At 40.4% G+C, this 20,532-nt stretch overlaps 1 protein-coding gene across 10 annotated transcripts in view, besides 1 other annotated feature; it reads right to left on the bottom strand.

Moving 5' to 3' along the window:
- Positions 1-1,788: 1,788 nt before the first annotated feature.
- C1orf105 (chromosome 1 open reading frame 105) overlaps positions 1,789-20,532 on the bottom strand; it is a 48,145-nt gene continuing 29,401 nt past the window's right edge. For 9 of the 10 annotated variants that reach the window (XM_011510152.3, XM_011510153.3, NM_139240.4 and 6 more), the window contains 4 exons: positions 14,129-14,203; positions 8,373-8,440; positions 5,255-5,319; positions 1,789-2,169 (listed from right to left, as the gene is read on the bottom strand). In XM_011510152.3, the coding sequence (XP_011508454.1) occupies positions 2,024-2,169; positions 5,255-5,319; positions 8,373-8,440; positions 14,129-14,203 (354 nt within the window). In that variant the 3' untranslated portion in view covers positions 1,789-2,023. Of the gene's footprint in view, positions 2,170-5,254; positions 5,320-8,372; positions 8,441-14,128; positions 14,204-17,428; positions 17,726-20,532 lie in introns of those variants that run through there. The other variant, NM_001300760.1, reaches the window with a different exon arrangement.
- Positions 2,795-3,089: a silencer, noted in NCBI's record as "tiled region #10840; K562 Repressive non-DNase unmatched - State 23:Low". NCBI's record gives its function as "represses a minimal TATA promoter and a strong SV40 promoter by Sharpr-MPRA in K562 cells {active_cell/tissue: K562}" and the evidence as "EXISTENCE:reporter gene assay evidence [ECO:0000049][PMID:27701403]".

Below are 20,532 nucleotides of genomic sequence, written 5' to 3'. Positions count from 1 at the left end.
TTTGTCTTTTTTTTTTTTTCTTGTGCAGGAAGTGAGGCCAATTTAAGGACAAGGCCATTTGTTTGAGATTTTTGAAGTCCATTCTTCAAGTAAAGTCACAGACACTCTGCAAGGGCTTCAGAGACTCCCAGGGGTCCCCAGACTATGTGAATTCCCAGTCTCCATGATGTACCCTTGTGTCTCCAGCCCTCTAGGGAAAGGGATGTCAGGATGTTTTTACTCACTTATCTGGTTAATCTAGTCACTCGACAGAGGTATTAGAGAAAAGTCAACAGTAGGTGTTCAAAGTCTGATGATACTTTTAGCATTCTTCAGATACAGTCAGGCAGAGGTTGGTTCTCACATGTTGATCCAGTTTCCAGTTAGTCAGGATCTTGCGATAAGACAAGACCATTGCTTCTTAAATAACAGAGGTGTTCTTTTTATATATATACCCCCCCAATAAGCTGGACATGAAACATATGTGCCTATAAATATCATATTTGCCAGCCTAGAGTTTTCTTTTGTCTCCCTCACACTGCAGATGGACACACAGATTGGGACAAATCTGGATGCATACATCTTCCAACCAAAGTAATCAAACTACATAATACATGCACTAGGTATGGTTTTTATTAAGCCAGGATTAGCTGAACTTCTCACATATGAGAGGCACTAAAGGAAGTGACGTGAGAAGGGCAAGGCAAGGCACAGTTCCTGTGCTTCAGGGTTGCAACGACGAATGCCTTGCCATTTTCCAGTCATTGCATCACAGTATCCTCTGCCATCTACCAGAGTTAACAAACACAGATAAGGCTAGATGGCAACTTCTCTTTTTCTCCTTTATTCTTTTTTTTATTATTATTTACTTTTGTAGACATAGGGGTCTCCCTTTATTGCCCAGGCTGGTCTTGAACTCTTGACCTCAAGTGATCCTCCTGCCTCAGCCTCCCAAAGCACTGGGACTACAGGCTTGAGCCACTGTGCCCAGCCCCACATCTTTGTTCTTTTTTATATTTTTATTTTATTTTATTTTATTTTATTTGAGATAGAGTCTCACTCTGTTGCCCAGGCTGGAGTGCAGTGGTGTGATCTTGGCTCACTGCAACCCCTGTCTTCTGGGTTCAAGTGATTCTCCTGACTCAGCCTCCTGAGTAGCTGGGATTACAGGCACCTGCTACCAGCCACGGCCGGCTACTTTTTGTATTTTTAGTAGAGACAGGTTTTCGCCATGTTGACCAGGCTGGTCTTGAACACTTGACTTCAGGTGATCCACCCGCCTTGGCCTCCCAAAGTGCTGGGATTACAGGTATGAGCTACCGCACCTAGCCTATTCTTTTATTCTTAATAAGCTGAATTCATGAGGGATTTCATGGGGCCATCTCTGGCCCCTGTCCTGAAGAAAGAGCTGAAATAACTTTCATAGAAAACTTGTGACTTAAAAACAGAAGGATGTTTTCCACTTTAACATAGAGAGGAATCTTTAACAAAATAAAATGAGAGACAGTTACCATATTCCATTTTCATCAACAGATCTTTATAATCATGTAAATTAAACCACTTTGTCCACCCACCTTGGCCTCCCAAAGTGCTGGGATTACAGGTGTAAGCTACCACATCTAGCCTATTCCTTTATTCTTAATAAGCTGAATTCATGAGGGATTTCATGGAGCCATCTCTGGCCCCTGTCCTGAAGAAAGAGCTGAAATAACTTTCACAGAAAACTTGTGACTTAGAAACAGAAGGACATTTTCCACCTTAACGTAGAGAAGAACCTTTAAGAAAATAAAATGAGAGACAGTTACCATGTTCCATTTTCATAAACAGATCTTTATAATCATGTAAATTAAACAATTTTGTCTTTAGGAGACGTGAGAAAGAACATAGAGGTAAGAGCTAGAATACCAGCAATCTTAGGAAGGCAAAATTAAATCATCTTTTGGGAGAAGAGAGAAAATTGTGAGGAGAAGGTGCCAGTGTCAAAGATTGGCTTGGCGAGGTTATTTTCTCTCTGGGAGTCTGGGAGGTGATGAGCTCCTACCGCTCACTGCCTCGTTGTCTTGCCTATTGGTTCCTTTCTGGGCAAGGAAGAACGTTGTCTCTCTTTTAGAGTTTTGTAGGCCTCTGTCAGTAATCCGTGGAAGACAGCTGTCCTGGGGCCCAGAATGGGCAGTCTGTAGTGAATGCTTTCTGGATGACAGTACAAGAAGGAAAGAAGGATAAGGACTACTTAGATTCTATTCTTAAAGAAGCTCAAAATAACCACAGGCCAACAAAGACTTCTTCAACCTTATAAAACAGATTTAAAATTCACCTAATAATTTGATTTTCAAATCCACCTTTTATTTTTTCTTAAGAAAATGGAACAAAAAACTCACCTAAGAATTTCTTTTAATGAAATTGCCTTTTCCCCTCACAACATTTAAACTTTTACAAATCTTGTCAATGAGGCCAAAAGGAGTACCCAGAAACAAAACTCAAGTATTAGACGTCATTACCAATTAAATTAAAAATGAAGATAAAACATGTCTGGTGTTGTAATATGAGTGAAAGAGAAAAGAGGATTCAATTCTCAGGAGACTTTTCAGGGACACATATATAGTTCTGTTCTTTAAAAAAATAAAAATAAGGAATAAACATGATCTTATAAAAAGGCTACAGTAGGGACAGAAAGTACTTTTGTTTCAAAAGAAATCTGTATTTTGTGAAATAATTTATTTTAGGGTTATTTAAAATCCTTACCCTATCTCTTCTTCAAAATGATTTATTAAAAGTTGGTTAATATTCAATTTTTCCAGAAGACATATAACTTGAATGGGGGTAAACCAGTGCATGAAATAACATCTTCCCATTGGGAATCGCTGAGTGACTAAGAGAATTGGAACTCTGAATTCTCTGGAACAAGCTCCAGAGAACAAAGTCCAACTGAATGAGAGCTAGAGACGTTACAGGATCACAAACCTTGGATCCAGTTCAGTCTCATCACTGTAATTAAGAGGGAACAGCAGTCCAAGGTCACAGACACTAATGGACTAAGAACCAGAACCCAGACATTCTTAATCCTAACCCAGTGCTCTTTGTGCCATATCATACCACCATGCCAGGTGGTAGGCCCCTATGAGGTGGTTAGCATCTGTACTAATGTTTATTGAGATTAAGAGTCCGTGGGTGTCATGGGATTCTGGGATCAAGTCAAAGATTCATGAAGGAATCTGCATCACTTGTAAAGATAAGTTCTTTCTATTTCCTTAGTTGTCATTAAGAATTATTGATAATATGTAAGGATAAGCAGAATCCAGAAAAAAATGCTAGCAATCATTGTGACCAACAGTTGAGTTAGACAGTCATTGGCAGTAATGTTGTTCACTGGGATGAGTCAGTCACTTGGCATTTGTAGCAATCCACAGGGAACACAGCACAGGTGGAAGGTGGCTTCAGCAATAAGCAGCAAGTACCACAGTATGGACATGTCTAAGCTCTATAATCCAGTGGGGATGGGGCAGTGTCAGCAGTTTTCCTGGGTCAGTCAAAGGTGAAGACCACTTGTGCTGAAGGTCTAGCTTTCAGTGGGACAACATGCTACTCTGGTTTTACAGGTGGGAACACAGAGGCCAAGCCTATATAGCAAGACTAGGATTCCTACCGAGGTCTCATCGCTTCTAGCCTAGTGCCGTTTTCATGACCTCTAAGAGCACATACAAGAGCAGAGTCAGCTCAGAAGGGCCATGGCTATAATAAACAGTAGATCTACCAAGCTTCAGCTCCTAGCCAGTTTTACAACTATTCCCCCTGTAGTCCCACCTCTAAGATTACTGTTCTAGGATGAACTCTATGGACAAGAATCAGGGCCATCCAAGAACATAACATGCTGTTCCTGTGCACACAAAATCTAGCTCTTAAATTGCTAATTGAAGTATACTCCCAGAGATAATACATTGATGAAAGGCATCTTGTTACATTGTTCTCTAGGACCAAAAAATATATTCTTGCTGAGGGAAAGGCACACAATGATTGTGTGTGATTGTGTGTGTGTGTGTGTGTGTGTGTGTGTGTGTGTGTGTGTGTATGTGATTCATTCCTTTGCAATGCAGGTCTGAAAAAAGTCCAGGTCCAAAGGAAACGCAGAATGAGTGTGTGGCTGGCACAGATAACTATGAAATCAACTGCACATGCCTATCACCCATGTTCTCTTGGCTTCAAAAGAATGAGGTGATCATAGACCAGGGAACAGCAGATTGGGTAGCTTTCGTTGGGTAGGTACTCTTAGCTCCAGGCTCTTGGTTCCACTTTGGCTAAATGAGAGCCATGAACTAGGCCAATATTTTGGTATACATAAGAAGCGATTCATTAGGACTGGAAGACTTTCACTCCACTCGAGTGGATATCCCCAAACCTCAGCTGTAACCTGAGTTCTGGTCCTCCCTTTTGGCATCCCCTCAAGACATCCCTTCAATCCTCAAATTTCCTTTCTAGAAATCTTTTCAGTTCTGGCTCTAGTTCCCCTGCAACCTCTTAAGATAAAAGATTTTTCCATATGTATAGAGTGAGGAAAGTTATCCTGATTTTCTTTACTGTATGTATCAAATGAGAGAAAAATTCAAGTGGCTTCAGTCAATATGGGAGCAAATGAGAAAATGGACAAAGTCACTAAAGTGACAGCCTGTGCTGCAGTAAGCCCTTGAATTATATTACCCCAAATAATGGCTCACTCCATCTTCACCAGCCCAGTGTTGCCTTAACTAAAGCTGAGACTTAGGTCAATGCTGAAGCCTGAAATAGAGCTGCTTTCCTTGTTTCTATCAACAGCAAGTGAAGATAAGAATAGCACAGGCAGCTGCTGGGAGAAGGCAGGTATTTTAGGGAGCTGGTGGAGTGAAAGGTTCAGGGCCTTGGTGAGGCCGCTCTGAGGGTATAGAGATGCAGTTCCCTTCCCATTTTGATTGATACCATCAGGACTGCCAATAGGGGAACTTTTATTTTGTTTGTACCCCATCTCCATGGAAAGTCTTCAGCCATATGTTGTGGACAGATCCTGGGAAGGAACATGACATGTATAAGGGCAAGTGAGGCCTGAGGAGGGCACAGGTGGTGCTGGAGTGAAAGAAGGGCTGTGAACCAATTCCAGCAGGTCAAAAGACAATACGTGAAAGAGAAAGGGATAGAAAGTGAGGATTTGCTCAGGAAATTTAGAAATTATTTTAGGGATTAGACTGTCATTCTATGGCATTTTTTTCTAGTGTGTTTCACACTATAAGTACTCTAAAAGAAAGCAAACCTGTTGGGATGTCATCATGGAAAGGCTCAGGTGTAGTCTGGAATTTGGGTTGATGAAGACTCATTCTGATTGGAAGAAACAAGAAAACACATTAGTCAATTGGCTAGGGCTTGGTAGAAAGAAATGTGCCTTTATACATTTTTATTTTTATTTATTTATTATTATTTATTATTATTATTGAGATGGAGTTTTTGCGCTTGTTGCCCAGGCTGGAGTGCAGTGGTGCGATCTCGGCTCAGTGCAACCTCTGCCTCCCGGGTTCAAGTGGTTCTCCTGCCTCAGCCTCCTGAGTAGTTGGGATTACAGGCACACACCACCACACCTGGCTAATTTTAGTATTTTCAGTAGAGATGGGGTTTCACCATGTTGGCCAGGCTGGTCTAAAACTCCTGACTGCAGGTGATCTGCCCGCCTCAGCCTCCCAAAGTGCTGGGATTACAAGTGTGAGCCACCGCACTGGCCTCTTTATACATTTTTAAACACACGTAATCTCTTGAATCTACTACCGGTTAACCTGATGATAAGGCCACTTTCTAGCAATGTAAGATGATTGATCCAAGGACTACTAATTCTCAATCTCTTTTTGATTAGTGTTGTTTTCATGGATTTTTGATAAAACCTTCATTTTGAATGTTTTATTCCACTGTCAGAACATATGTGGTCTGAAAATAGGAGGAATAAAGGAAAGAGTTCTTCAATTTCCAGAAAAAAAAAAAAAACAGAACTCTTCCAGATCAATAATCTACCTTTAAAGAGTAAAGCTGAGAAAACATTTTGGTTAGAACCTTCCCATTTCACAGAAAATGCCCTGACCACATCCTATTTCTCCTGGTGGCCAAGGCTGTGGAGGTGACCCTTGAGGAAAATGCATATAAGCCAAAACCTCTTCTACATTAGTTTAAATTGCTTAATTTCTAAAGACTGACATATTTGTAAACTTTGATGGGCCATCTAAGGCTCTACATTCATTTCATGGTTTCTGCTTCCACAAAGATCTTCCGAGATTATTTTTGCTTTGCTACCAAAAATATAGTGAGTTAAGCCAGTTTGCTTTAATCAATTGTCACTGAGATTGAGAAAAAGAGAAAGCAAAACCCCTTCTATTATCCATTTTGTGCAAACAGGCAGATGGTATGTTCAGGACTGAATAGTTTAAGCTCTGTCTATTCTACAATTCAACAAATATGTATCTATCCTGCATCTTTTCTCCCTCTCTTCCTTTTTTCCTTCATTCTTTTCATTCAATAAGTATTATATTTTAATTCCTGCAATGGCTATAATTAAAGTCACTTTTTAAAAAACCACAATTTCAGTGAAGATAATTCCATTTGCCTATATATGCAGTGATACTTAAAAAGTATGAAAACAGAAACCAATATCTAGTGCTAGAAACAAATTTGGAAAAGTTAGAGGTAGAACCAGGCCCTTGCTTTATAGTCACTCTAGCTAAGTCTCACACAGAAGTGGTATGTTTTCCTCCATAACACTGAAAAACAGAATACAACAATCAATCTCATGATACGTCTGGTTGATGTTGACATGATTTTAGAACTGGTTTAATCCTTGGTCTTACTTTTAAAGGGATAAGAGCTATTTGTTTAAAATACAACTAATTAATGTTCTGGAATTTTGTATTTAAATAAAGTACAAAACTTGCAAGATAAGTAAAATGGGGCAACAAATTTCGAAAGGTTATTTCACAGAAGGGTGAAATTTTGCTCAGAAATCTCTGATTTTAGATGCTTCAGTTTTCCATTTAAAGTTCATAATGAATATTTACTAGAATTACTTTTATCATATAAGAGCTCTTTAAAAATGTAGAGTCAGTACAGGTAAATGTTATTAGTGATGGAGCTTGTACTGCTCAAATAGCCACTTCCTCCATAACTTTGTCTACCTTGGCCAGGAACTGGGTGCATGTTTTCAGTGTATCTGGGTCTATATTTGAGTCTGGAACAAATGGCCCTAAGGTCATAAAAGGAATCAGGACATGTACCATTGTGCAACATAAGGTTACAGAAAAACCTATTTATTTTTCCACATTATTGCTGACTGTATGAGGAAAAAATTAAAATGGGCATTAGATTACATATAGCTTTTTTGGTTAGTCATATGTAAAGGTGAGTGTATGTCTACTTTCCAACCATCTATTGCAATGCAAGTTGACCTGTGTTGATGTCCTGTTTAGAATGAGTCCATGTTTTGCATGTTGTAATAAAGTAAAAACAGAGTCCTTCTTCCCTGCCTAGTAGTTAAATATAGAAGAAAAAAACTCTTTGAAAAACTAGGTGGGGCATGGTGGCTCACACCTGTAATCACAGCAATTTGGGAGGCCGAGGCGGGCAGATCACCAGAGGTGGGGAGTTTGAGACCAGCCTGGCCAACATGGTGAAATCACATTTCCACTAAGAAGAAAAAAAAAAATTAGCCAGGCATGGTGGTGGACATCTGTAATCGCAGCTATTTGGGAAGTTGAGGCAAGAGAATTGCTTGAACCTGGGAGGTGGAGGTTGCAGTGAGCCAAGATTGCGCCACTGCACTGCAGCCTGGGCAACAGAGAGAGACTCCATCTCAAAAAGAAAAAACCAAACCAAACCAAACAAAACAAAACACACAAAAAAACTAATCATAATTCCAATTGGATTTTATATCTGTTATACTCGATCTTGATTTAAAAAAAGCTTTAAATAACAACCAAACAAACTGATAAAGAGGAATTTTAGTTACTAAAACGTAGCAGAGAACATCTTGGACTAAGGAAAGATTATGTGTAATCCCCCATATCTTGCAGATTAGATATGTCATCTACATGGAGAATTTGTATTTAGTTCCATCTGAATTATCAAAGAAATTTCCTATTCTGTTTCTTATATTGTTCTTGTGAAGGTGGAAAGGAAGATTATACTTTCTACAATAGTTTCAGTAGTTGTTCAAGCAAAAAGGTGAACTTTCTTTTTTGATCTAATAATTTGGTTTAACCTAAAAATAAAACCAGTCAAGAAGCCTGTTCCCTAAGCATTCCTTAAACATTCCTCTTACTAGGCTTCTCAATCCACTCTCCTGTGTCCTCAGACATAACAAGAATTAAGTCATGTCCTGATTTAAATTGTTGACTTACCTATAACTCATACAATTCTCAAAGGATGCTTTTGGATCATCTGGGATTTTCATTGTTCTTGGTTGTACCTCAAGAAGAAAGTCTCATTTAGAACGTTGCCTGTAACTGCATTTTGATTTAAATAAATAATGTACCACTTTAGTGAATTTGTGTTGTATTTGATGTCAAAGTCCTTCATACATCCTTTTGTGATGTGAATGACCAGAGGGTTTCACCCTTCCCTCAAGTCAGAGTCATTGTTTTTCCCTGGATATCAGTTGAAATTAGATACACAGATTTAGTAAATCTTTAAAATTGGTTGGTTTAGATGCCCCCACCCCCAATACACACATGTTCTTCAAGTCTCAGGTTAACTGTCATTTTATCACAGAGACTGCTGACTCCGGGACTACTGTTCGGTAGTCCTCCGCTCTATGTTCTTAGGGCCTCCTGGATCAAAATACTCATAACCTTTATATTGTATTTACTTGTGTAATGTCTGGGTTCCCTAATAGACTTTCAGCTTCATGAGGGCATAGACCTTGTCTCTATTTTTGTATTTCCAGCTGCTAACACGATGTCTGTTTAAGAAATATTTTTGATCAAATTAGTGAATGAATGAACCCACCTTGAAGCACACTGGAAATTTTAAAGGTGTCTTTCATATAGGCCTAAAATCAATGTACAGTTACAGTATTTTCGGTTAAGAAACATCACTTTCTTGAACTTTTCCAAATTTGTTCCTAGCACTAGATGTTGGTTTTCTTTTAAGAATGTTTTCACTAGGAAGCATTTTTCCGTTATTTCTCGAAAATTATTGTAGCTATAATAATAAAATGACAATTACAAAGATGTGGGTGCAGGTGTTCAACTACTCTACTCACTAAGTGACTTGTACCAAGTGACTCATGATTTAAGTTTATGACATAACAAAGTTACAAATTACAATGTATTAAGGACCTTTAGAGGTGCTTGAAAATAGCAAAAAAACTGAATGCAAAGGCTATACAAATGCCAAGAATGTACTATGTTTACTCAGCTTGTTCTCCTAACTCATTAGCTGAAGAAAGGATGGGAGAGGGAGAGGAAGGAGCTGATCTGGTAACAAAGAGCCTCTGGGCATAGTGGGGGCAGCCAAGGCTTTAGTAAGAACCTGAGGAGAGATTTCTAAACATAAAAGTGGCTGAGAATGTGCCAGAGACAGACTGCTTTATTCAAAAATTTATCTAAAGTTGACTCTGCTCCAAGGGAAGATGCAGGAAACTGTAACTCCTCCTGAATAGCATGATTGCTGTTCTAAATCCCCTAAATCCAGCTAGCGCTATTGTATGAATGAACTGTGCTACAGGGGCTGCATCAGAACAAAGCTGCCTGCCAAAGACAGGATTTTTGTTTTTGAGAAAAAGTGTACTGTGGGAGACTCCTATTCATTCTTGAAAACCCTGAATAGTCTTTTTCTTCAAGGAAGACTTCCTTGATATTTACTTTCACTGCCCCTTCACTCCCCATCAGATCTATTTCTGTTTATATTGATTACATTCTGTTGTCATTATTTATTTATTTGTTGACTCCTTAAAGACAGGTCTTATGTATTTCTTTTTTTTTCTTTGTAGTTTACCTAAGTACCTGGCCCATGGCAGACAATCAATCAATATTTGTTGAAATAAACTTAATTTATTTTGAAACTATTTTTTAATATATGTTAGAGAATATCTGTTTACAGTTGTCTAGCTTGATGGTCCTACTTTTAAGGGGCTTGAAGGTGTTAATTAGAGAGTAATGCAGATAACAGAAGGACTACAGAATAGGTGCATTAAGGGGAAGATGAGCTGTTTGGAGCAGAGACATGATGAAACACAGCCTAGATAAAACCAAGGCAAATATCACTGGTGATTCACAACCATAACTGTCAGCAGGTATTTCTTCTGCACTGAATGATTGAGCTTCTAGCCCAAGGTTACATAGGAATATGAGTAGTTACATAACCAGGTCCTATTTACATTTTTTTGAGATTCATCTATTTTGTGCTTTTATTTAGTGCTAATTTCTTTTTATCGGTGTTTATGATATCATGTATCATAAGTCACCATCTTAATGTGCAATTTAGTAGTTTTTAGTATATTCAGAAAGTTGTAAAACAACCACCATTGTTTATTCCTAGAACAGTTCATGACCCCAAAAAGAAACCACATACCTATTAGCAATTGCTTCTCACTCACTCCTCTCCCCAATCTTTGACAACCACTGTCTATTTTCTGTCTCTGAATTTTCCTATTTTGGACATTTCATATAAATGGAACCAGTATAATATGTGATCTTTTGCATCTGGTTTCTTTTACTTAGCAAAATGTTTTCAAGGTTCATCCATGTTATAGCATGTTTTAGTATTTCATTCTTTTTTATGATTAATATTCTATTATATAGATAGACAACGTTTTGTTTATCCATTAATCAAGCCCTAGGCATTTGGGTTATTTCCACTTTTCAGCTATTAAGATATGGCTGCTATGTGCATTCTTGTAGAATTTTGTGTGTGAATATGTTTTTAGTTCTCTTGGGTACATATCTAGGAATGGAATTGCTGGGTCATATGGTAACTCTGTGTCTAAGGTTTTGAGGAATTCCCAAACTGTTTTCCAAAGCAACTGTACTGTTTTACATTCCCATCAGCAATTTTTGAGGCTTCTAATTTCTCCACATCCTGGCCAACACTTGTTATTATCCACCGTTTTATTATTATTATTATTACAACCATCCTAGTGGATGGAAAGTGTGTCTCATTGTGGTTTTGATTTGCATTTGCTTTACAACAAATAATGTTGAGTATCTTTTCATGTGTTTATTGGTCATTTGTAGATCTTCTTTAGAGAATGTCTATTGAAACTTTTTGCTCACTTTTCAACTAGAGTGTTTGCCTTTTTATTGTTGAGTTTTAAGTGTTCCTTATATATTCCAGATACTAGTCCCTTATCTGACATAATCCTTCATCTGTTGATTTGCAAATATTTGGGTTGTCTTTTCGTGTTCTTGATGGTGTTCTTTGTGGAACAAAAGTTTAAAATTTTTATGAAGACTGATTTATCTATATCCTTTTGTTGTTTGTGCTTTGGGTGTCCTATCTTAGAAACCATTGCCTTATCCAAGGTCATGAAGCTTTATACCTATGTTTTCTTCTAAGAGTTTTATGGTTTTAGGTCTTACATTTAGCTCTTTGACCTATTTTGAGTTATTTTTGTACATGGTGTGAGGAAGAGGTACAAATTCATTCTTTTGCATGTATCTATGCAGCTGCCCCCGTACCACTTATTGAAAATACTATTCTTTCCTCATTGAACTGTCTTGGTGCCTTTGTCAAAAATCAATTGTTTATAAACATAAGAATTTACTTCTGAACTTTCAATTTTATTCCATTTATCTATTTGTCTATCTTTATGGCAGTACCACACAGTCCTGACCATAGCTTTGTAGTTAGTTTTAAAATCAAGAAGTATGAGACCTCCAACTTCGTTCTTCTTTTTAAAGATTGTTTGGCTATCCTGGATCTCTTGCATTTTAATATAAATTTTAAGATATGATTGCAAATTTCTATAAAAATGGCATCTGGGATTTTGAGGATTACATTAAATATGTAGATCAGTTTGGCGGAGTATATTCATCTTTACAATATTAAGTGTTCCAATCTATAAACATGGGGTTCTTTCCATTTATTTAGGCCTTTTAAATTTTCTTTCCACAATGTTTTATACTTTTCATTGTATAGCTCTTGTGCTTCTCGTGTTAAATTTATTCCTAAATAATTTTTGATGCTATTACAAATGGCATTGTTTTCTTCATTTTTGGGTTGTTCACTGCTATTAATAGAAATTAAGGTTTATATACTGATCTTGTATCCTCAACACTGCTGTACTCATTTATTAGCTCTAATAGTTTTCTGTGCATTCCTTAGGACTTTCGCTATATAAGAGCATATCATCTGCAAATAGACTAGTTGTACTTCTTTCTTTCTAATGTGGATGGATTTTATTTCTTTTTCTTATCTTTCTGGCTAGAATGTATAGTAAAATGTTGAGTAGAAGTGTCAGGAGCAGACATTGTTGCCCTGTTTCTAATCTTAGGGGAAAGTATCCAGTCTTTTACCATTAAGTAGGGTGTTAGCTGTTAGTTTTTCAAGCTGCTCTTTATTAGGTTGAGGAAGTTCCCTTCTATTCCTAGGAGTCTTTTTATATATTCCCCAGTATTTCTATTCAACTCACTGCTGAGAAAGAAGGGGTATCACAGTGACTACAGCAGACCTGCAGTCCCTCCCCTTGGGAGGACTTTGAGGTATTACTGCATAGAGTGAGGCAAGGATATTTCATGTTTATTTTCTAACTTTCTGTAGTTTATCACCAGGTTCTGACAGCAGTACAGAAGGGTCCCTGGGCACTTTTGTGTTTGAAGCCCTTCCTTTTAGAAGCTTCAATAAATGGTAAAATTGCAGCATGTGGCTCCACTTCTATCATTCCTGGACAAGGGCAAAGGTCAGAGAAGAGGTCTTGAGAAAGAGGATGGCTGCTGATGTCCCAAGTGTGCCAGCTGGCCAAGGCCAGCTTAGGCCTGGGGTTGGTGCATTCTAAATGTGGACACAAGGGATTCCAGGAATAAGACCAGGAGAAATCCCAATCCTAGTTTCCCAGACTCCAGCCAATGCTAATATTTAACACAGTGACCCTAATTATGTAGAAAATGAACATAGATGGCAACATCAAGGTGCAGCTTTGCCGGTAGCTTCAGTTAAATTTGTAAATCCCACATAAAAATTTCACAAAAGTGCCACTCTCTTTCACATCCGACTGGACCTAAGACTTGCCATGAACTCAGTGAAGGAGCTTTTCTTATATCTTCTATTTTTCTTCCATTCTTTTAAAGCACGTTTAGCCTACACATTTAGCCCCACCTTCCTCCCCAAGTCAAAGGAGAATTATAGGATATCAGAGTTGAAGAAACCCTTCTCCAGCTCGTACCTCAAACCTAACCATGTTGCTAAATTAACCCTTAACCAAAGCCTCTTCCTTACCCTGACGCTAACAACCATCCCAGCGCTAACTCTAATTCTTAAATTACCGAAGGCCTAACTCCAGCCTAGTCTAGCATCCTTCCTGAATCAGGCCTCTGATTCAGCAACTGTGATAGATGGCATGGCAGAAGTTTGTCTTTGTTCCCTCCACATCTCCCTTGCTTTCCTTCTTTCTTTTCCTAATATTCCTCCCCTACCACCATTCTCCACTATATGTTACAAATACCCAAAGCAGGTGACACCGCCCCTGACTACCTAGAAAGTACTGTAGACTCTCTCCCCAGTCTTTCTCTTGAGGTGCTACCTAAATTAACAGTAAACCCAAAGATGAAGCTGTTTGTCTCCTGATTGTAACGGTGGAGAAATGAGTGTGAGCCTATGTGTTGTGTGGGGGCTACATTAAGGAGGGAGAAGGAGCTCCATAATCCCCTAAGCCTCTGAGAGGCTGTAGTTACTTAGGAGCCCAAGGCGAAGTGTCTCATTGCATCTCTACTCTGGCCCATCTATCCTGGTTACCCTTTAGCTTGTTGAAACGGAGAAGGTTTATCATGTTCTGTCAGTCGATGCTGCTCCCAGGACCAACAGTTCCTCCTTGGCAGCCTTTATCTAGGCCCTCCTTGCAACGGGCCCCGTCACTATCTCTCCCCACAGGGCTTGGCTGGGAAGGGCAGTGCTGCACCCTGAGATGCCTGTGCCCATTTCTGTCTTCCCCCTTGCCTACCATTTTCATTTCTTGACATGTGGAGCACAGCTGTTGGTTTCTGAGCAGCATGGAGTCACACTGGTTCCTCCTGGCCTGAGGGGAAAGAGAGACAGAGAGAGGTGAGGAAATGGTGGGGCATGTAGGGCAGCAAAGATGTAGGAAAGCAGTGGAGGGGTGAGAGAGGTAACAGTTTTTCCTTCCGTAAAACAGAGATGGGCACTCTGGTCTCAGCCCCATCCAGGGTGGGTGTTGAATCTGGAGTGTGCTGCAGCTGGTAGGTACCGAGAGTTTAGGCAGGAGGGAGTGAGACATAGGCTAGGTGGTGGTCTTGAGGCTGCTGCATGCAGTGGTATACATGTAAAGACAGCTGGCAGAGATGGCTGGGGCCTGAAATTCAGTGGGGTCTCTACTTTCCAGCCTGAGCACCTGTGTCTGAGGGGTTGCATTCTCCTATAGGTGGGCCATTTTTTCCATTTCATAAAAAGGCTCCACCATATAGACTGAGGATCTCTGATGGCCTAAGAAAGAATGAAGAGAAGACTTCTCTTCTGCAAATCTTTTTTTCACGGGCCTTTCCTAAGCATCGCCTTCCTTTCTCATGCCTTAACTCTGGGCCAGAAACAGCTCTCATGCATCCATGGTCCAGCACCATTTGGCCCTTCTGTACCTCCTAAGCAGAATGATTGAAGCCACAAGCAGAACTCAAGCTTGTGTGTGAGTCCTGAGTCCCCTCAATCCTCTGGGAAAGAGAGGCTGTCTCAGTAGGTGAAGAAGCAATCAGTGGAGGAAGGGGAGGGGCACCGTGTCTGCTCACTGTAACCACTGGTTTTTATTCTGACTTCATTTCTGCAAAAGCATTAAAGAGAGGACTTTGGAGCATTTACACCTGGGTTCAGGAGGTTCTCATTTGCATCTCTGATAAAAGTTTGCTTAGGAAGCATATAGGAACTTGAGGCTAAACTTATGTTTGGGATTCTCTCTTAACCTTCCTCATTCACATTGACATCAGTCATGAGATATGGTCACAGAAAGTGCAGAATATGGGGAAGAGGAAAGCCACAGTGAGAAGACTATTGACTGAAGTCTTCTCTTTCCTTTGATCCGCTTGCTGGCCCATCACTACATGGTGTGCCTTGACCCATTCCTGTTGCCCTGGGAAGTGTGGGGAACAGAAAGAGGAGGAACAGAAAGTGAGGAGTTCCTGAGGTGTGCTCCTAGGATGACCTTTGCCAGATTGTTCTGCAAGTAGCTTCATCCTGTGAGAGACATATGGCACTTAGGTGATGCATCATGGGGGGTTTGAGGGCTAAAAACTGTTAACAAAGTTGGATTCTTTTGAGAAACATTTAAAATACACTTCATTTTTATAGGGCATTCTAAAAAGAATCAACTCAGTATTACAATGTTGTGGGTTGGTATGTCAAAGTATGTGTGTGAATAACTAGATTCATTCATTCAACAGTAAACATCTATTGTGAGGCTACCAAGTAAAGGGTGCTGTGACGGGGGTCATACCGACGAATAAAGCAAAGTTTCTGGAAGGAAGTTTCTAAGGAAGACAAAAGAAGAATACAAATTCATTCATTTACCCATTCATTAGGTACTGGAGACATTTAAATAAATAAGACATAGTTTGTGACCTCAAGCTGCTCACCATCCAGTAGCCTATACATCAAGAAGTATGATGGTGTTGAAGGTGCTACAACAGAAATATATCGAGGCTCCAGTGAAGCTGAAAGGGGTCATTGAGCTTAACTGGGGGTGGGGCAGAGAGGGAAGGGTCTGAGAAGGGTAAAAAAAAACAGGCAATGCTTGGGTAGGTGTTTGTGGAGTGAACAAGGATGGTGAGGGTGTTGCAAGCCCAGGAAACACTATACAACAACCTGGAAGAATAATCTAGCAAATCAGCTTCGGGTAAGTGAATGTAGGTTGGGATGGACAGGTTGTCTGGTGGGAGGTTGAATGGAGTGAGAAGAGAGACTAGAGAGGAAATGTCTGTGGATATTGACTCCTCTGCTTTGGGCTGATTCAACTTTCTACCATGTCTTCCTGATACCCCTGGGGGTGATATCCCCTGAAGCTCCAGCTCCTCCCTCCATCCCTCACATCTTTGAGGTATGAGAGTGAGGTACATTTCTGAAACTGCAATTAAGGTAGGACACACTAGATATCATACAAGAGGCACTAATACCTCTGTGCCTTCAGAAAACAGAGAGACCACTTCTGATTGGAGAAATCAGGAAAGGCTTCCTAGAAGTGGAATTTGTACTCAGTCTGAAGGGATGAGGAAGACCTGGACAAGGGGAGGCAGATATGGAAGAATTCTTGGGCAGGTTTGTTTTTAGTAGAGATATAAGTTCTTCACTGAAATTATTTCCTTCACCTTTTTCCAGACTTCTGGTTTCTGCTAAGACTACTATTAGACCCTATAGGAAGTGGAATCTCAGAGCTCATTGCAAATCAAGCAACAGATATTATTTGCAAGATCCCCAAAGTGCATTGCAAGATCTTGCTAGGTTAATGACAACTGTAAATGTGAGTACAGAGTCCCATAACATAATGACTGTCATCTCTTAGAATCTGAGGGATGAAATGCTTATATATTGTCCCACCTGGCCTTGATAGCTACTCATTTAAGACATAGTGTAGGTGTTACATCCTCAGAAAACCTTTCTCCTGGGCTGCTACCATTTCTCACCCTCCTAACCTCAGTTGGGTGCCTGCCTCTTTGATTGCATCATAAACTTGGTCTAGCTTTCTTTGTATTTGCACTATTCTTGATTTTAAATGTGTTTATTTCCTCCACCGGGCTGAGAGTTATTATATTTAAGAGCAAGAATCATGTTTTACACATCTTTGTATTCCTAGAACCTATGATAGAACCTGGCACACAGCAAGTATTCAACAAACATTGGGCAAATGAATGAGTCATTGTAAGCAATTTAAATTATGAGGTCTAAATATAGACACAATCAACCTAAATATATAAAACGAAAAATACATATATAAATGAAGATCACTATTGTAACACGGTCTTCAGGGAAACGTTACAGAACATTAGTGTTGTAGTACAACAAATTCATTCTATGTAATGCACTGGGGAAGAACACTGGCTAGACGCCCAAAAAGCTCTGTTCCAGTCCTGGCTCACAAACAACTTGGGTGACTTTTGTCAATCATATAAACTCTCCAAGTCTCCCTTCCCCTACCGATAATGGTCTTTGTGTTCAAAAAGACAGAGGCGGATGCTCTAATCCTGTCCCTTTACACTTTACATTTAAAGGTAAAAAGCAATCTTTGATCTGTGCTGTACTCTACCTCAGACTTGCTATCAGCTGAAGCCTGGCCTCCAAGAAGAGCTGCTCCATTTCTATCTGGAGAAGGGATGAGGGCATTGAAGAGTCGTGGAAGGCAGCTGTGACAGGCTACTTTAAAGGCGACGCAAACATTTGAGACGCCATGTCCTGCAGGCCTCATTTCCTCCATTCTGTCTTGCTTTCTTTCCCAGCCCTGAAACCCAGGTCTTTGGTCTTTTTCTTCTGTTGCATTCCCTTCTCACTCGGTTTCCTTACGACCAGCTCAGCAGCAATAACAGGAATGGAGAGGGAATTGTCCACATTCACAGTACAATGCTCTGGTTTTATCAGGTCTAGAGCCAGAGGCACTGGAATGTTAATGGGGCCCTCATTTCCCAAGCAGCTGTCCTCTGGATAGCAGATGGCAGTTGTGACAGGAGAGTGACAGCAACCTATGTGTAGCCTGGCCAAGGTATGATGCAGATTTCAGCCAGTCCCCAGAAGCCAAAAACACATTTGACAATTGGAAACATCCTCATACCCTAGGACAATATCTGCTGCGGTGTCTAAGGGCTGACTCATGGCCCAAGGCCATGGCCTTCTTGAACCCTTGGTAAAGAAACAGAGAAATATATTTCTCTCCATCTCCCTCTCCCTCTACTCTCCTTTCTTTCTCTCTTTCGCTCCCTTTCTTTCTCTCTCTTACACACCTGTTCACATAAAAAACAAAAATGTAAGCACCAGCTTGTGATTAAAACAGGCTTCACAAGCACCCTGTGAGGAGTACTGACACATTTGCCTCTGTCCTTTCCTTCAACACCTCTGTTTCTTTTCTCCTTCCCACTTGTAACTTAACTGAGAGAGACCTGATAGGACACTTGGTTCAAATCTTTCAATTTACCCAGGAGAAAGCTGTGACCCAGAAAGGTTAAGAGATTTGTCCAATACCACATCTATTGAACTTCAGTCGGCTAGAAAGTTTTTGGATAAAAAGGATTATGTTTCCTCAGGGGAAGAGTAAACTCTTAGAATCCATATAAAGGCCAGGCATGGTGGCTCATACTTGTAATCCCAGCACTTTAGGAGGCCAAGGCAGGCGGATCATGAGGTCAGGAGTTCGAGACCAGCCTGACCAACATGGTGAAACCCCCTCTCTACTAAAAATACAAAAATTAGCCAGGCGTGGTGGCATGCGCCTGTAATCCCAGCTACTCAGGAGGCTGAGGCAGGAGAATCACTTGAACCTGGGAGGCGGAGGTTGCAGTGAGCCAAGATCGTGCCATTGCACTCCAGCCTGGGGCAACAGAGTGAGATTCCGTCTCAAAAAAAAAAAAAAAAAAAAAAGAATCCATATAAAGGCAGAATTATTTCTACCACATAGAATCCCAAAAGTAGTGCTCAAAGAACAATTTCAATATTCAAAAAAAACCTTATGATATTACACATGTTCCTTCTATCTGAAAATATCAGCCATTTAAAAAAATAAAGCTGAATATACTTAAAAAAACCCAAAATGTATAAAAAATAATATCCATATCCCTACATTCAGACTTATTAAATTTGATTTTTATTACCATCACTATTTTAGGTCAATAGCATTTAATATTCTCTTTAAAAATTGTATTTGTAATTATATGCACTAGATCAACATAAGCAATATAAATATGAAAATGACTTAGGAGTATATGAGGTAGTTTCCTTGGTAGTTATGAGCTTTGAAAATTTAGTCAATGTGAGAGAAATAATAAAAAGAGAGTTCTTAGTGGTGAGAAAATAGAAAGTAAACATCCTATACATCTTCCCCAGCTATGCCTCTGCTACTGCACAGTCTTTTTAGCCAGGGCTTTTTGCCACAGGTCTGCTAAAAGCAAAATAAATAGTGTTCTTATCTTCACTCTGACTCATTAGACTGGAAGAACAAACCCAGATCAAAGTGAGTAGAGAGAGAGTGGGGGCAGGAATTGAGAGGGTGGAGTGGCATTTTATAATCTATTAGTAACTGAGGAGCTCTAGTTAATTTACACCCAGTACCAGCAAGTGGGCAAAGAGATTTCAGAGTCTCCAGCTGCAGTTTTCCGGGTCACCCCCACACACCTGCTGTTCCTTTGCCTTGGATCACTGAGTCAGTCACCTTTTGGCCCAGTTAGCCAACTATCATGATGCACCTTTCTGTTTCTCAGCATCTTGAGGAGTCGTGAGTGGATGCCTGCAAATGGCAGGAGAAAATGAAGAAGCTTCTCCACAGTAGATGTTTAAACGAGGAAATGTTTAGGCTTCATTTGTCTTCACTAAAAATCTTTCTTCTTTGACAGACCTGCCTCTCCTTTTGTCTTGTGTTTTTTGTCCCTCATCTCTGTGTGTGTGTTTCTATCTTGCTTTCTGTCTCCCTCTTCCTGTTATTGTGTCTCTGAGCCTGTCTCCCCTTTGTCTAGTCACTAGGAAATACTGCTCCAGGCACACGTGCACCTGCCTCAGGCACGGGGCTGCTCCGGGGCAGGGGAGGAGTAAGTGGGTGTTTAAAGTTCTGCCCTTTGACCTGTGACGGTGAAGAGGAACGCAGCCAGGTGGCAGGAGCTTTGCACCTCTGCACAGGGTCCGGGGTCTCCAGTTGGCCTCCGGATTGCCAGCAGCTTCTTGTCAGGTCCCTGATTTAGAGAATGAAGGAAGAGATCCTGTCCACAGTACATTCTACTCCCTTGAAACACAACAGTTTCTTTCCAGAAGGGAGCAGCTGCCAGCTGAATCCACGTTTACCTCATGGCACATACGTGCAGGCCTTCATACACGCAGTAGACTCTGGGAGCCAGATTCAAATTTGAGGACGTCTGTGTGACGGGAAAGAATATGACTGGAGGTACTGGCCTGGTGCCCCAACAGAGCAAGGATCCCGGGTTCCCTACTTGTGTTTCAATCTGCAGGGGTGACTCTTTCTCATGTGCAAATCAGTGGAGGGTCAGCCCCTAACAGGATGAGAGTGAGGGTGAGGCTGAGGGGCCTGTGTTCTCTCCCAATAAGAGCAACCTATTTGGGACTTCTCACGGGTCAGCCGGGAAACTGGCCTCCCAGGAGCCCTTTGGGCTGCGCAGCTGGAAGCTGTTGCTCTTAACTGTCATCTAGTGGCTAACT

Source organism: Homo sapiens, chromosome 1 (assembly GCF_000001405.40).
Source record: "Homo sapiens chromosome 1, GRCh38.p14 Primary Assembly".
Classification (NCBI taxonomy): domain Eukaryota; kingdom Metazoa; phylum Chordata; class Mammalia; order Primates; family Hominidae; genus Homo; species Homo sapiens.
This window is presented reverse-complemented; position numbering and strand designations above follow the sequence as displayed.